General features: G+C 53.0%; 4 annotated features.

Annotated features, from left to right (window-relative positions):
• Window positions 573-682: an enhancer, noted in NCBI's record as "active region_29114". NCBI's record gives its function as "activates an Ori minimal core promoter by ATAC-STARR-seq in GM12878 lymphoblastoid cells {active_cell/tissue: GM12878}" and the evidence as "EXISTENCE:reporter gene assay evidence [ECO:0000049][PMID:35858748]".
• Window positions 1,263-1,946: an enhancer, noted in NCBI's record as "H3K4me1 hESC enhancer chr9:132349961-132350644 (GRCh37/hg19 assembly coordinates)". NCBI's record gives its function as "activates a minimal SCP1, AML or CMV promoter by ChIP-STARR-seq in primed H9 embryonic stem cells {active_cell/tissue: H9 hESC(primed)}" and the evidence as "EXISTENCE:reporter gene assay evidence [ECO:0000049][PMID:30033119]".
• Window positions 10,998-11,217: a silencer, noted in NCBI's record as "silent region_20383". NCBI's record gives its function as "represses an Ori minimal core promoter by ATAC-STARR-seq in GM12878 lymphoblastoid cells {active_cell/tissue: GM12878}" and the evidence as "EXISTENCE:reporter gene assay evidence [ECO:0000049][PMID:35858748]".
• Window positions 13,851-14,350: an enhancer, noted in NCBI's record as "H3K4me1 hESC enhancer chr9:132362549-132363048 (GRCh37/hg19 assembly coordinates)". NCBI's record gives its function as "activates a minimal SCP1, AML or CMV promoter by ChIP-STARR-seq in primed H9 embryonic stem cells {active_cell/tissue: H9 hESC(primed)}" and the evidence as "EXISTENCE:reporter gene assay evidence [ECO:0000049][PMID:30033119]".

Consider the following 16,026-nt stretch of genomic DNA (forward strand, 5'->3'; position numbering starts at 1 on the left):
TGTGGCTGGTTTAGGGCCTTTACGCTGAGCTGCCTGTAGTCTCACCATCACAGCACATATTTGTGGGTGTCTTTGATTCATGTCTGTTTCACTATACAGTGAGCCTATGCACAGAGGTATCCACAGCATTAGCACAGGGCTATACATAGTAGGTGCTCAGGAAGGAAGGAGGAGACTTAGTCCAGCCCTCCAGGAAAGATGAGAAAACCAGCTGAGAAGCTGGGCCCAGGTGGGTCAGGTCTCCTGTCTGCTGCCCCCAGGGGGAGCCCCCCATCCGGCCTCCCCTCTCCCCTCTGCCTGCTGAACCTGGCAGTGGAGTTGGGTAGGAGTGGGGGAGTGGGAGTTGGTGGTAGGAGCTGCAGATAGAATCCCCCAGGGAGGCAGAGGCGAGAACGCTGAGCTCCTAGATCTCCAGAAGAGCTACAGCTGGCAGGGAAGGAGGCGGATGAAGCTCACATCTGGTTCCACCCACCCAGGCTGTGGCTCCAGTGGGCAGCACCGCCCTCCCTGCCCCAGGACTAACCCCTGCCCCCCTCTTCCCTCCTCCCCACACTGTCTGCCTTCCTGGGGAGGCACAGCTGCAGATTTAGCCGCAGATTCGTATGTGTGCATACAGCCCAGTTGTAGGTGCTGTGTGCGCATCAGAACACCAACTCCTGAGAGCTGACATTGAACCCCACCTTGAGACCTGAGGCCAATTTGCTATTATGTTAAACGTACTGAGCCCCTGCTCACCCCGGACAAATGGACGGCACCTGGGCCTCTCACCTCCCAGGTGGAATGGAGTTCCAGGTTTGATCTTGTTGGGATAGAAAGATTAAGGAAAGTGGCCGGGCGCAGTGGCTCACACCTGTAATCCCAGCATACTGGGAGGCCAAGGCGGGTGGATCACTTGTCGAGAGTTTGAGACCAGCTTGGCCAACATGGTGAAACCCCATCTCTACTAAATAGAAAAAATTAGCTGGGTGTGGTGGCAGACACCTATAATCCCAGCTGCCAGGGAGGCTGAGGCAGGAGAATCGCTTGAACCCGGGAGGCAGAGGTTGCAGTGAGTCCAGCCTGGGCAACAAGAGTGAAACTCCGTCTCAAAAGAAAAAAAATAAGATAAAGGAAGGAAGAGGGGAGAAGACAGCTGTACAGTGGAGATGGATTTATTGAGAGTAAACCTGAGAAGGGCTCTGGCCGGCATTACAGCCTGAGGCTTTTTAAAGGGCCCGGTGGGGGAAGTGTGCTTTGAGAGAAGATCCTATTGGGAAGGAGTTGGGGAAGGGCTGGCTAGTTATGACGAATGGGGACTTCGTTAGGCTCTGTTGCAGTTAGGGCCTATGCTCTGTTGAAGCTATGGGCGGGGCTGACATTTGCGGACAGTTCTGAGACATGGAAATTTGATACTTTAAGATGGTGGAGACCGGGCGCAGTGGCTCATGCCTGTAATCCCAGCGCTCTGGGAGACCAAGGCGGGCGGACCACCTGAGGTCGGGAGTTCGAGACCCGCCTGACCAACATGGAGAAACCCCGTCTCTACTAAAAATACAAAATTAGCCGGGCATGGTGGCACTTGCCTGTAATCCCAGCTACTTGGGAGGCTGAGACAGGAGAATCACTTGACCCCGGGAGGCGGAGGTTGAGGTGAGCAGAGATTGCGCCACTGCACTCTAGCCTGGGCAACAAGAGTGAAACTCTCTCTCAAAAAAAAAAAAAGAAGATTGTGGAGTCTCGTTAAGATGGCAGCACTCTTGTCCTATCAATCCAGACTCTATGGTTAGATAGGGAGATGGGCTGGCGTGCTTTTTCTGGCTACTTCCTGCTGAAAGGGGGCCGTAAGATTGCTGGTTTTGGATTGACTGGAGGAGTAGCACCGTCTTCAGGTGTTGTTGGGGGGTAGTTTGTGAGATGGCTGTGATCCTGTCGGTAAGGAACATTTAACCAGGAACTGATTTGGTTGGTTTTCTTGTCGCTCCCTCATTCTTTGAGCTCTTTCCTTAAGTTTTGGACGGCATCCCTTACCAAGCCTGGCTGGTTGAGATAGAAGCAGCATTCTTCCCCTAGAGAGAGGCAGGAACCTCCCTTCTCTGTTGTAAGGAGGTCGAGTCCTCTCCGGTTTTGGAGGACTCCTCCGGCTGGGGAGTCTAGCTGGTCTTGGATTCTTACAAGGCCCTTGGCTATATCTTCTGAGGATTCTTGTAGGTCTGTGGAGAGAGACTTAAAATTTGAGAGTGAAGTGGCTAATCCCCCAGCTCTTAAACCAATGCCTGAGCTGATGCCCAGAACAGCCTATAAGGCAATGATTTGGACTGCCCTTGTCTGTTTGACATGCTGAATGGAAGGCACCGGCAGGGCTGGGTTAGGGGGAATTATTCCGAAGCCTGGAGAAAGGGGGCCCAGAGTACAGGTGCCTGTCCAATCGGTTGGGAGGCAGAGGTAAGTGTTGGTGCCAGGCAGGAAAACAGGCCTGCTTCGGAAATGCAGGTAGAGATATGAAGGGAAAAAAGGTGGATTAAGGGCCTTTGGTTGTTTGTGGTGGGTTCCTGGCTCCAAACAGACAGTGTAGATGCAAGGAGGCTCTGATGATGGTGAAGATGTGTTGGGAGTCAACCTTTGAACATTTGATGCGATCTGGAGCAGGACCAGTTATGGATAGCCACGGATAGAGATGTGTGTTGGGGATAGAGCAATTAAAGGAGGTAGCCGTGATGTGGGGGGTGGCTATAAAGCGAACTGGTTGGAGGAGCAACCCACTGGCTTCTGGTGACACTTGATATTCAACCCGGTTAGTTTGATGGTCTGTAGCGTGCTGGATAGAAATGGTTTTGTTACATTCTCCTGGAATGAGGGATCCTATGGGGCACATGCCCTGTGTGGCTGAAAAACAGTGGAGCCCATTGAAGGAGAGGGATATGAAGAGTAAGGGGTCCTTCAATAGAGGGGGCGGGGGGGAGCATATTTTGTGTTTTGTTTTGTTTTTGAGACAGGGTCTCGCTCTGTTGCCCAGGCTGGAGTGCAGTGTTGCCATCTCGGCTCACTGCAACCTCCGCCTCCCAGGTTCAAGCAATTCTCCTGCCTCAGCTCCCCGAGTAGCTGGGATTACAGGTGTGCGCCACTGCGCCCGGCTAAAATTTTGTATTTTTAGTAGTGATGGGGTTTCACCCTGTTGGTCAGGCTGCTCCTGAACTCCCAACCTCAAACCATCTGCGCGCCTTGGCCTCCCAAAGTGTTGGGATTACAGGCATGAGCCACAGCGCCTGGCCGTGGGCATATTTTGTTAGAGAGTTATAATATGTTTGGAACAGTTTATTGGCTTGGTTAGCAAATTGGGTAGGGTAATTGCCAAGTACAGTGTCTGCCCTTTCAAAGCAGGAAGACCGCTTTTGGAGTTTATAAGTCAGGAATGTTTTTTGAGTTAACGTTGTAGGGAGAAGCGCCGATTGGGCTGTATATGCCGACAATGAGGAGAGTGATAGGCACATCCAACAATTATGAGCATAGGAAGGATTAGCTTGCCACAGCAGGGACTGAGTGAGATTCAAAGAAAGTTCCAGATGCTTAGCTTTGAGGAGTGACTTGATGCGGGCTGCGGATCCCATTGTAGTGAGGAAAGGTAAACTTAGGGGAGAGGGAACATCAGGCAGAAGGAAAAGAAAGTTATTTGGGTGGGGGAGAAATCCTAGGAGGTACCTTGAAGCCATAAGTCCAACAGAAGGTTAAAGGTTTGATTAGGGGAAACTAGAGGCTCCTCGTGAGGGGACCAGGTAATGTCTGAGCTAAGGAGTGTGAGGAAGAGGTGAAAATTGTGGGGAGAGGGCAACATAGAAGATTGATAGGCTTTTATTTATTTTTATTTTTATTTTTGAGACGGAGTCTCTCTCTGTCACCAGGCTGGAGTGCAGTGGCACGATCTTGGCTCACTGCAACCTCCAGCTCCCAGGTTCAAGCAATTCTCCTGCCTCAGCCTCCTGAGTAGCTGGGATTACAGGCGCGGACCACCACAACCGGCTAAGTTTTGTATTTTTAGTAGAGACAGGGTTTCACCATGTTGGTCAGGCTGGTCTCAAACTCCTGATCTCGTGATCCACTTGCCTCGGCCTCCCAAAGTGTTGGGATTACAGGCATGAGCCACCGCGCCCGGGTGATAGGCTTTTAATAGAGAGGTTTAGGTGGAAGTTTCTTCTTTGGGAATCCTGGTTAGGCAGACAGATGTAGGCCCCGTGGAAACACAGGAAAAGGTTGAGAGGGTTTTATTCTGAGTTGGTGGGGGGCTGGATGGTTTCTTTGAGGGATGAGGGGTGGAACAAATTAGGAATTCCCTTGAGCTTAGTGGCTGTGGGGTAGCCAGAATAATCTAATAAGGGCCATCCTGCTTGGGCTTAAGAGGGTTGCTGGGGGTTTCTCTTGGGGTTTGGAGAACCTAGTCTCACTGATGGAGAGAGGGGTTGTCTGTGCTTGGGAGTGGTTGGGGTAAGGTGCAGTTCACACATTTCCAAAGGAAACTGCGGACTGCCTGTAGGAGTGGAGTAACAAGGGAATCGGGGAGTGAAGGGGCTTTTTTGAGATGGCGTAAAAGAGGCAAGAGGTCTCCTGTACATGAATTAAATGCACTAATCATTAGGGGTTTGCGAGGGAGAGCCCTAATTTTGAGAAGGGCGAGGGGCAATAAGGTGGTCCAGTCTTTGTGGGTTTGTAAGGAGAATTTTGTGAGAGTATTTTTTAGAATGCAATTCATCCTTTCTACCTTCCCAGAAGATGGAGATCAGTAAGGAATATGGAATTTCCAAGTAATATGAAGGGCTTTTATAAGATTTGGGGAGGACAGGCCTGGTGTCTCATGCCTGTAATCCCAGCACTTTGGGAGGCCAAGGCAGGTGGCTAAAATACTAAAGTATTTTTTCGACTAAAAATACAAAAAATTATCTGGGTGTGATGGTGGGCACCTGTAATCCCAGCTACTCAGGAGGCTGAGGCAGGAGAATCGCTTGAACCCGGGAGGCAGAGGTTGCAGTGAGCTGAGATCGCGCCATTGCACTCCAACCTGGGCAACAAGAGTGAAACTTGGTCTCAAATATATATGTGTGTGTGTGTGTGTATGTGTGTGTGTGTGTGTATATATATATATATACACACACACACACATACACATACACACAGAAAGTAGTTTGGCGGCCACAGTAGAGGCTCTTTTATTGGTGGCAGGGAGGCTTTCAGGGGGCATGAAACCATGTATCTAGCTAAAAATACAAAAAATTTCCAGACGTGGTGGCACACGCCTGTAGTCCCAGCTACTCGGAAGGCTGAGGCAGGAGAATCGCTTGAACCCGGGAGGCAGAGGGTGCAGTGAGCCAAGATCGCCCCACTGCACTCCAGCCTGGGCGACAGAGGACAGAGCGAGACTCCATCTCAAAAAAAAAAAAAAAAGATATTGGGGAATTTCTTGATTTGCTGAGGTCATTCTGGCTCATTTGTCAGCCTTGCGATTTCCTAAGGAAATATGACCCTCATTTGATTGGTGTTCCCTGCAGTGAATTATTGCCACTTTTTGGGAGCAAGGCAGCCTGTAACAAATGGCGAATGAGCTTTCCATTAACAATGGGGGTTCACTTTGTGGTGAGGAAACCGCGTTCACTCCAAATTTGGGCATTGGAATGAATGATGTTCTATGCATATTTGGAGTCAGTGTAAATATTGACCTGTTTTCCTGCTGCTAGGGTTAGGGCCCTGGTTATGGGCCTACCTGCTGGGAGGATGTGCCTGCTGGTAAGAAAGAGGCTTCTATGACTCTTCAGGGAGGGAGGACGGGGGTGTCATCACGGTATCCTTCCATGATAATATACCCTGCTGAGAAAGGAGGAACTCTGGACACACTGCTGTCTAGAAACCAGCCTGGAGCTCCCTTTATAGGTGCGTTGGTTAAATGATGGAACGTGATAAGGGAGTCATCAGTGATATCAGTGCAGGAGTGCAGGGGTGACTCTAAGAGGGGTGTTGAGGGTAAAAGGGTGGCGGTGTTAGGAGGGGAGCATTTACGGAGGGAGAGAAAGGATTGGAGAATGGCTGAGTGCAGGGTCTGGATGCGGGAAGGGGATACTGTTTGAAGTGCCCTGTGGCTGAGCATATCTTGCAAGTCATGTGATGAATAAACTTGCAGGGGTTTATAGAAGATGAAATTTTGTGCCTCTGGGATAATTAAAGAGGCTGTGGCTAAAATGTTTAGGCAAAGAGGCCAACTTTTTTTTTTTTTTTTTTTTTGAGACGGAGTTTCGCTCTTGTTGCCCAGGCTGGAGTGCAATGGCGCGATCTCGGCTCACTGCAACCTCCGCCTCCCAGGTTAAAGCGATTCTCCTGCCTCAGCCTCCCTAGTAGCTGGGATTACAGGCATGTACCACCATGCCCGGCTAATTTTGTATTTTCAGTAGAGATGGGGTTTCTCCATGTTCGTCAGGCTGGTCTCGAACTCCTGACCTCAGGGGATCTGCCCGCCTCGGCCTCCCAAAGTGTGGGGATTACAGGCATGAGCCACCGTGCCCAGCCGTGAGGCCAACTTTTATAGATAAGATCTAGCTGCTTGAAGAAGTATGCAACAGGTTGAAGAGAGTCCCCTGTGGGCTGGGCCAAAAGGCCTAAAGCTCCGTTTTGGGAGCTGTGTAAGTATAAATGGAAAGGTCGGCTGGGGTTAAGGAGACCCAAAGCAGGGGCCCAGGTTAGAGCTTGTTTTAAGCAGGACAAAGCATGATGAAGTTCAGGAGTAGGGGCAATAAGCTCAGCGAGGTTTCCCTTTGAGGCCTCATATAATGGCGTGGCAATCACTACAAAATTGGCAATCCATAGCTGGAAGTACTCCATGAGTCCCAAGAAAGAGAGACAGTCTCTTTTGGTATGAGGGAATAGGATGCTCTGGACCATCTGCTTGTGTGTTGAGGGAATTTCCCAGGTGGCAGGGGTAATCATGAGGCCCAGGTATGAAACCTTGGAGGAGGCTAATTGGGCCTTTTTTTTTTTTTGGACAGCTGGTAGCTGTACTGGGTGAGGGAGTTTAAAAGGGTAACAGTATGCTGAATAGAGAGTTCCTCTGAAGGGGAACAGAGCAGCAGATCATCTACATAGCGAAGGAGGATGGGAGGTGTTAGGCAAAGTTTAGAGAGGTCTGCTTGAAGGGCTTGTCCAAAAAAGTTGGGGGGCTGTGTCTGAAACCCTGGGGGAGGACAGTCCATGTGAGCTGTTGGGAAATGTTGGTATCTGGATCCATCTGGGTAAAAGCAAACAGGTTTTGGGAAGAAGGGTATAGAGGTATAGTGAAAAAGGCATCTTTTTTTTTTTTTTTTGAGACAGAGTCTCGCTCTGTCGCCCAGGCTGGAGTGCAGTGGCGCAATCTCGGCTCACTGCAAGCTCCGCCTCCCGGGTTCATGCCGTTCTCCTGCCTCAGCCTCCTGAGTAGCTGGGACTACAAGCGCCCGCCGCCATGCCAGGCTAATTTTTTGCATTTTTAGTAGAGACGGGGTTTCACCGTGTTAGCCAGGGTGGTCTTGATCTCCCAACCCCGTGATCCGTCCGCCTCAGCCTCCCAAAGTGCTGGGATTACAGGCGAGAGCCACTGTGCCTGGCCTGAAAAAGGCACTTTGAGGTCTAGTACTGAAAAATGACTGGTATGAGGGGGGATTCTGGAGAGGAGTGTATAGGGATTAGGAACGACTGGGTGTGTAGGGATGACAGCAGAATTGATTTGACGAAGGTCCTGGACAAGCCGGTAGGACCCATCCAGCTTCCGGACAGGGACAATAGGGGTGTTATGAGGGGAATGGGTTGGAATGAGGATGTTGGCAGCTAACAGTTGGGAGATGATGGGCTTGAGTCCCCGAAGCCTCTCAGGGCTGACAGAATACTGTTGGACTGTGATCTAATGAGAAGGATCCTTTAATGAAATTTTAATGGGGAGTGGTGGGCCGCCACGACTGCAGAATTTGTGTTGACCAAACAATAGGATTTGTTTGAGTTATAATGCTAAGGTCAGGTGTTGGCTCCTTAACTTCAGGTAGGGAGAATTTGGGTTCCTGGCATAAAAATAAGTAGGGATGGCTTTGGCCAAGAGCCCAAAGGTGGAGGAAGCCACGCAATTTGTGCAGCAGGTCTCTACTTAGAAGAGGCATGGGGCAATGTGGGATTAACAGGAAGCAATGTATGAGGGTGACGTCCCGAAAGGAACAATATAAGGGGAGTGTTTGGAGGGGAGTTTTCTGAATGCCCTTTATGCCAACAACAGAGATTAAGGAGCAAATTAGAGGTGTGGGGAACAATCTTGGCAGAGGGAAGGACGTGAGCAAAGGTAAATGAAGGAACTTCTTGCCATTTGCCATTTCGATAAATGAAGTTATCTAAATCCCTTAAAATTTGGTGGTCGAATGTGCCGTTTTCAGGCCAACGGTTGCCCTTGGCCTGAGGCCAGGCAGTATTGCAAAAGAATATAAGGCACTTTACTTTAATGTCCCCCTTTATACCGAGTTTAGAAAGGTTACAAATCAGGAAACCTAGAGGGGAGGAAGGAGTAATTTGAGATTGATTGGAGCCCATTGAGATTTGGCAAGGAAAGGCCAGGGGTGTCTGCCGTTAGACTAGGCATCCCCAGAAAAAGGGCAGAGACGGGAGATCCTCTCAAGAGGAGGTAGACTGAGGGGAAAGGTCAGGCATCCCTGAACGTCACCCTCCCAAGGTCTCTGATGGTCCTAATGGTCCCCAGGAGACCGGGACTGCGGACCTGAGTCTCCTGGGTAGCACAGGAGAGACAGGTGGGGGCAAACCTTACTAATTAGTGTCTGGTGTTGGATGTTTTAGAAGGAACCAGCAAAGGACCTCTCAAACTGGAGCCGTTGGGGAGAAACAGAAAGTAAATTGCCCAGATCCAGCGGTTGGAGGCAAAATTCTGGGTCCGGGAGTTTTGAGAACCCATCCAGGGGTAGCCCTGGCCACAGCCTCGAAGTCCTCTCCTGTCACTCAATTACCTCATGCAAATCACTTTTAAAAAAGAGGAAGAGTTGAGGGACTAGGCGGGAAGCCAGAGAACCCTCAGGATCCAGGAATTAGCCAGGGATGAGCTGTCGGGGCCCACTGCTTCCTGGGTTGCAAGAGTTCTCAGCCCCAAGACTCATCCCGGGGTTTGGCAGCAAGTATTGGAATAGAAAGATGAAGGAAAGAAGAGGCAAGAAGGCAGTTCTACAGTGGAGATGGATTTATTAAGAGTAAACCTGAGAAGGGCTTCTGGCCAGCAGGCTCAGGAGCAAGCTTCTCATATAGCCTGAGGCTTTTTAAAGGGCCTGGTTGGGGAAGTGTGCTTTTTTTTTTTTTTTTTTGAGACAGAGTTTCACTCCTGTTGCCCAGGCTGGAGTGCAATGGTGGGATCTCAGCTCACTGCAACCTCCGCCTCCCAGGTTCAAGCAATTCTCCTGCCTCAGCCTCCTGAGTAGCTGGGATTACAGGCGCCTGCCACCACACCCAGCTAATTTTTTTGTATTTTTAGTAGAGACCTGGTTTCACCATGTTGGCCAGGCTGGTCTTGAACTCCTGACCTCAGGTTATCTGCCCACCACAGCCTCCCAAAGTGCTGAGATTACAGGCATGAGCCACCGCGCCCAGCCCGGAAGTGTGCTTTGAGGAAAGATTCTATGTGGAGGAGTTGGGGAAGTGCTGGCTGGTTGTGACTGTTGGGGACTTTGTGAGGTTCTGCTGCAGTTACAGCCTTATGCTCTGTTGAAGCTATGGGCAGGGTTGACATTTGCGGACAGTTTTGAGACATGGAAACTTGATACTTTTAAGATGGTGGAGACTTGTGAAGATGGCGGCACTCTTGTCCTATTAGACACAGCCTGTTGGGGGCCCCTCTCTCTTGGCTCCTCAGGGGCCAGCATGGCCACCTCAATCCCACCAGCTTCGAGACCTCAACTTCTCTGTGGGCCTCAGTGTCCTCATCTGCAACTTGGAACAAAAACTCTGTCCTCAGCCAGCAGCCCTGGGGAGCTGGGAGAAACCAGGCAATCAGCCCACTAGGTGGGCAGAGGAGAGGGTTCCAGGAGACAGCTGCAAAGCCTCCTGGGACTCTGAGGACAGAGAACCCTGGGGGTGGGGCTGGAGCTTTCTAGGGGCTGCCAGTGGTTGAACCCAAGGGCCGAGGCGGCAGCTGGGGGCCCTCTGCAGTGAGGAGGAGGTCCCGGCTGGAGGTCGGGAGAGGGGTCACCCAGCTTTGCAATCTGATGGGCAGGGAGGAGAAAGAGGCTATGGTGCGCCTGCATGGGTGCATTGGAAGCTATAAGGCTCCAGTGCGCGGGGCCGATGGGCTCTAGGACCCTGGAATTCTCTCAGCACCCGCCCACACACTGACCAGTCCCCAAGGCTTATTAGTATTGTGATCGCTATTATCGAAGGACCCCCTCTCCCTGTCTCCTGCGCCCACCCACAGCTGTCCAGACTGGGGGATGCGAGGATGCCCTCCAGGTGTCCACAGCTGGGGTTCTGGGCCAGGGATTACCAGAGTCTGAGCAGCCTTGGGGGACGCTGAGGCAGGGGGCCGGGGAGGAGGGCACCCGGGAAGAGGGTAGGGCAGGAGGTTTATGGGAGGCCCCACAGGAAGAGAGGACGCCCTTCCCTCCCATCCCCCGCAGGGAGGAGCTGAGGCTGGAGCCTGGGAGGGGAAGATGGGAAAGGCGCTCCTGGCAGAAGGAACAGCGTGTGCTAAGGCCGGAGTGAGGCAGTAGCTGAGAAGCAGTTCTGTCTGGCCAAGGGGCCAGGAGGGAGGAAGAAACGGGTGGCGCGCAGGGCACCCACGGCAGGGCCTTGAATGCCGGGATAACTCATTCCTCGCTCCTAGCGCGGGGCTGGGCCGCCCTTGGGCCCTGGGGAGGGCGTCAGGCGGGACCCTTTGTCCCTCCCTCCGCCCCCTCCCCTTCACTCTCCCCTTTCTCCCCCTCCCGCCCCTCCCCTCCTCCTCCCCGCTCTCCCCGGCCCTGTCCCGGGAAGGCTGGACCGGCCCGCGGCTTGCCCTTTCAAGTCGGCCTCCCGGAGTCTCCGGAGCCGTCCGAGCGCTGGGGCCGCTGGCGCGGACTTCAAAGCCCGCCGCCCCCAGCCAGATCCGGTTGCGGGTGGGGCGGGCGAGCTGGGAGGGAGGCGGGTTTCGGTGGATTCCCCTTTCATCCCGCGGCTGCAGCCGGGCGCAGACCTCGGGGAGGCCCGGCGCGTCCCCGCTGGGCAAGTCCCTGCAGGGCAGCGACCGGGAACGGAGGGCTGGGGACGCCACGAGGCCGCGCCGCAGGGCGGGGGAGGCCTGAACCCAGACTGGGGGCTTCGGACCCGCCTGCGCTGTGGGACCTCAGGCCAGCGCCTACCTGTCGCTGGGCCTCAGCTTTCCTGAATGCCCTACTCCCTGCCCAGGACTCCTCTGGGGAGGGGCATTCGGGAACATTCAGTGGCCCTTGGACAGCTGAGATAGGAACAGGAAGCTAAGCTGGGAGCCCGGGCTCTCCTTGGGGTACCTGCCCGACCCCACCCATCCCACCGGAGAGGAACCGCTTCCTGCATCAGCCAAGCCCTGCCCGCAGTGTAACCCGTGGTCCAGCCTGGCCCTCTCTGGGCCTCAGCTTCCTGGAAGGCTGAGGGGGTGGCGGCTGAATGCCCTCCCTCCGGGTTGAGGTGTAGCGCATTCCTTCTTGCCGTCCTGTTTCCCGGTCCCTAAAGTAAGGGTGGAGGGAAATGGCTCTCCCTTTCTGGTGTAACCATAAGGAAGTGGCTGCCTGACATTCTGTAGCCGTCCGCGTGCCCCATCCAAGCCCCACAGAGCCCTGTGTGTAGATTAAGAACATCCTTTTTTTAGGTGAACAGCCTGAGGCAGAGGGGGTGTCGCTTGCCCCAGGTCTCAGCTGGCAGGAAAACTGGGACTTGACACAAAGTTACTTGGGCTTTCCTCCACCTTCCTCCCTGCCCGTGGTCCCCACTGATTGCAAAACAGTCATAGGGGAGGTGAGTCCAGGCTGGGAATTTGGAAAGCAGACACTGACATAACGTGGGGTGCAGGCGCAGGAGTAGTATCACCCCCGCTTTACAGACCCAGAAACGGACACCGAGAGGTTGCGAAGCCAGACAAGGGGCAGAGCTGGGTATTGACGCAGATTTTTGGGGCCCCAGAGACTTGAGGTTTAGCCACTGCCTCTGGGGTGAGAGGGGCAGGGCACTTACTGTGTGTCAGGCCCAGGCTGGGAAGCATCTTGATCAACACAAGAACCCCAGCTGGGAGGTGGTGGTGTAGGAAAGGGGTCCAGATCCAGACCCCAAGAGAGGGTTCTTGGATCTCTCGCAAGAAAGAATTCAGGGTGAGTCCATAAAGTAAAAGCAAGTTTATTAAGAAAGTAAAGGAATAGGCCGGGCATGGTGGCTCATGCCTATAATCCCAGCACTTTAGGAGGCCGAGGTGTGCGGATCACGGGGTCAAGAGATCGAGATCATTCTGGCCAACATGGTGAAACCCCATCTCTACTAAAAAATACAAAAATTAGCTGGGCGTAGTGGTGCGCGCCTGTAGTCCCAGCTACTCGGGAGGCTGAGGCTGGAGAACAGCTTAAACCTGGGAGGCGGAGGTTGCGGTGAGCCAAGATCACACCACAGCACTCCAGCCTAGCAACAGAGCGAGACTCCGTCTTAAAGAAGAAGAAGAAAAAAAAAAAAAGTAAAGGAATAGGCCAGGCACGGCGGCTCACCCCTGTAATCCCAGCACTTTGGGACGCTGAGGTGGGCAGATCACCTGAGGTCGGGAGTTTGAGATCAGCCTGGCCAACATGGAGAAATCCCATCTCTACTAAAAATACAAAAATTAGCCAGGCATGGTTGCATGTGCCTGTAATCCCAGCTACTCAGGAGGCTGAGGCAAGAGAATGGCTTGAACCCAGGAGGCGGAGGTTGCAGTGAGCTGAGATCGCACCACTGCACTCCAGCCTGGGCGACAGAGCAAGACTCTGTCTCAAAAGAATGACTACACCATAGAGCAGCGCTGAGGGCTGCTGGTTGCCCATTTTTATGGTTATTTCTTGATGATATGCTAAACAAGGGGTGGATTATTCATGTCTCCCCTTTTTAGACCATATAGGGTAACTTCCTGTCATTGCCATGGCATTTGTAAATTGTCATGGCGCTGGTGGGAGTCTAGCAATGAGGACAACCAGAGGTCACTCTGGTTGCCATCTTGGTTTTGGGGGGTTTGGCCAGCTTCTTAACTGCAACCTGTTTTATCAGCAATGTCTTTATAGCCTGTATTTTGTGCCGACCTCCTATCTCATCCTGTGACTTAGAATGCCTTAACCGTCTGAGAATGCAGCAGCCCAGTAGGTCTTGCCTCATTTTACCCAGCCCCATTCAAGATGGAATTGCCCTGGTTCAGACACCTCTGACAGTGATACGACCATTGCGCAGGCCTGGGACTGAGACACAGAGAAGTGAATGGTGAGGCCAGGCACAGTGGCTCATGCCTGTAATCCCAGCACTTTGGGAGGCCGAGGCGGGTGGATCACCTGATGTCAGCGGTTCGAGACCAGCCTGGGCAACATGGTGAAACCCCATTGCTACTAAGAATACAAAAATTAGGCCAGGTGCAGTGGCTTACGCCTGTAATCCCAGCACTTTGGGAGGCCAAAGCAGGTGAATCACCTGAGGTCAGGAGTTCAAGACCATCCTGGCCAACATGATGAAACCCTGTCTCTAATGAAAATACAAAAATCAGCCACTCGTGGTGGCAGGCACCTGTAATCCCAGCTACTCTGGAAGCTGAGGCAAGAGAATCACTTGAACCGGGGAGGTGGAGGTTGCTGTGAGCCGAGATCGCACCACTGCACTCCAGCCTGGGCGACAGAGCGAGACTCCATCTCAAAACAAACAAACAAAAAAATTAGCTGGGCGTGGTGGCACGCCCCTGTAATCCCAGCTACTCTTGAGGCTGAGGCAGGAGAATCACTTGAACCAGGGAGGTGGCAGTTGCAGTGAGCTGAGATCACACCACTGCACTCCAGCCTGGCGACAGAACGAGACTCCATCTCAAATAAAAAGTAAATGGTGGGCCCCAGTCTCACCAGAAGTGACTGAGTCAGAATTGGAACCCAGTCTGCCTGGCTCCTATGCCCCTGCACTTGATTTAGAGCTTTGCCCAAAGAGAGCTGTACTGCTTACCCACTCGCACCAAACACTGCATGGTTCCAGAGCCCTGGAAGGGTGTCTCTGCGTGGGGCCTAATCTGCCAAGAGGGGGCAGTTTTAACGGGCTTCCAGCATGATGCTGAATGTACCCAGGCTGGTGGGCTGGGACAAGTGCCCAGGTATCTAGCAGATGCCGCCCCAGCCCAGAGATTTAAAATTCCTCCCTGGAAAAATCAGATAATCAAAGAAGTCAAATACCGTGAAATGAATGTGATCCCTGCCAGAAGCCCAGAGGGAACATCTGAGAAACACTGCATTGCAAGTGCAGGCACGGGACCCTCCCCCTTGCCGTATAGGCAGGGAAACTGAGGCACGGTATGTGGCAGGGAGATGTTCACAGATAGGATCCCCATCCCTTTGCGCAGCGTTCATTCAGGGCCTTCTCTGTGGCAGGCTCTGTGTTAGGGACCTGTCCAGTCTCTGCATTCTTGGAGCTCAGGGGCTACTGAGTATGGTCCATGTGTGCCAGCAATGCCACCACTGTTCCGTCCTGATTGTGGTAAGTGCCACACAAGGAGAACTGTGGGGAGCTGGTTTCATTTGGAAGAGCTTCCCTGAGGAGGTGACATCTGAGATCTGATGTTAAGTGGGAACCCGTGAAGCTGGTAGGAGAGCATTCTGGGTAGAGAGGAGGGCATGTGCAAAGGCCCTGGGGTGTGAAGGAGTTTGGCTCAGGAGCTAAAGGAGAAGCCAGAGGCCTACTGCAGAGTGTGAGGGGAAGCACAGAGGGGGAAGAAGGAGAGAGGAGGGAGGAGGCAGAGGGGCCGGGGCCTTGGGGCTCAGAGGAGTCCCCAGGACTTCAGTGCTGGGGTGCCGGGGGGAGGGACAAGCAGGGGGAGTCAAGGCTGGCAACCAGGAATCCTGCCGGACGGACGTGCTCAGGGACACCCCAGGACTGCAAACCCCAGGAGAGTCCTGACTGGGAACAGGAGAGCAGAGGGAGCGGTCTCCAGTCTTGCTCTAAAGCCGGCTCTGTTCTCTCCTAAAAGAAAAAGGAGATCAAAAGGAAAATTTGCAAGTTAGATTTACCCTCAATTCTATTAAACCACCAAAAACTGTCGATAAATAATATTAAGGTCTTTTTTTCTTTTTGAGACGGAGTCTTTGTCACCCAGGCTGGAGTGCAGTGGCATGATTTCGGCTTACTGCAACCTCCGCCTCCTGGGTTCAAGCAATTCTCCTGCCTCAGCCTCCCAAGTAGCTGGGATTACAGGCATGAGCCACCCTGCCCGGCCCATAATATTAGGGTCTTAACTCCACAAACGCTAGAAATTTCAGCCTGGAAGGCCCATGGAGGCCATTCCCTGTCCTCCCAGCATTGGGGATGCGGGAGGGGAGCCAAGAGGCTCTGGGTGGGAAGGTCTGGCCGGGTCTGTTCAGCCAGTGGGCCCCTCCCCATCCTTCTTGGGCAGGCCCCCAGGTAGACCCAGGGGTGTCCCCAGGTGTGGTCTGGTCCTTCTCAGAAGTGCAGTGTTTACAGGGATGGGCTGTTCCTCTGGTAGGATGGACAGCTGCTTGGAGGAGGGTGGTGAACACCTTTTTTTTTTTTTGAGAGGGAGTCTTGCTCAGTTGCCCAGGCTGCAGTGCAATGGCGAAATCTCAGTTCATTGCAACCTCTGCGTCCCGGGTTCAAGCGACCCTGTCACCTCAGCCTCCCGAGTAGCTGGGATTACAGGCACGCGCCACCACGCTTGGCTAATTTAAAACATATATTTTTAGTAGACATGGGGTTTCACCATGTTGGCCAGGCTGGTCTGGAACTCCTGAGCTCAAGTGATCTGCCCGCCTCGGTCTCCCAAAGTGCTGGGATTACAGGCGT

This window comes from Homo sapiens, chromosome 9 (genome assembly GCF_000001405.40).
Source record: "Homo sapiens chromosome 9, GRCh38.p14 Primary Assembly".
In the NCBI taxonomy this organism is placed as follows: domain Eukaryota; kingdom Metazoa; phylum Chordata; class Mammalia; order Primates; family Hominidae; genus Homo; species Homo sapiens.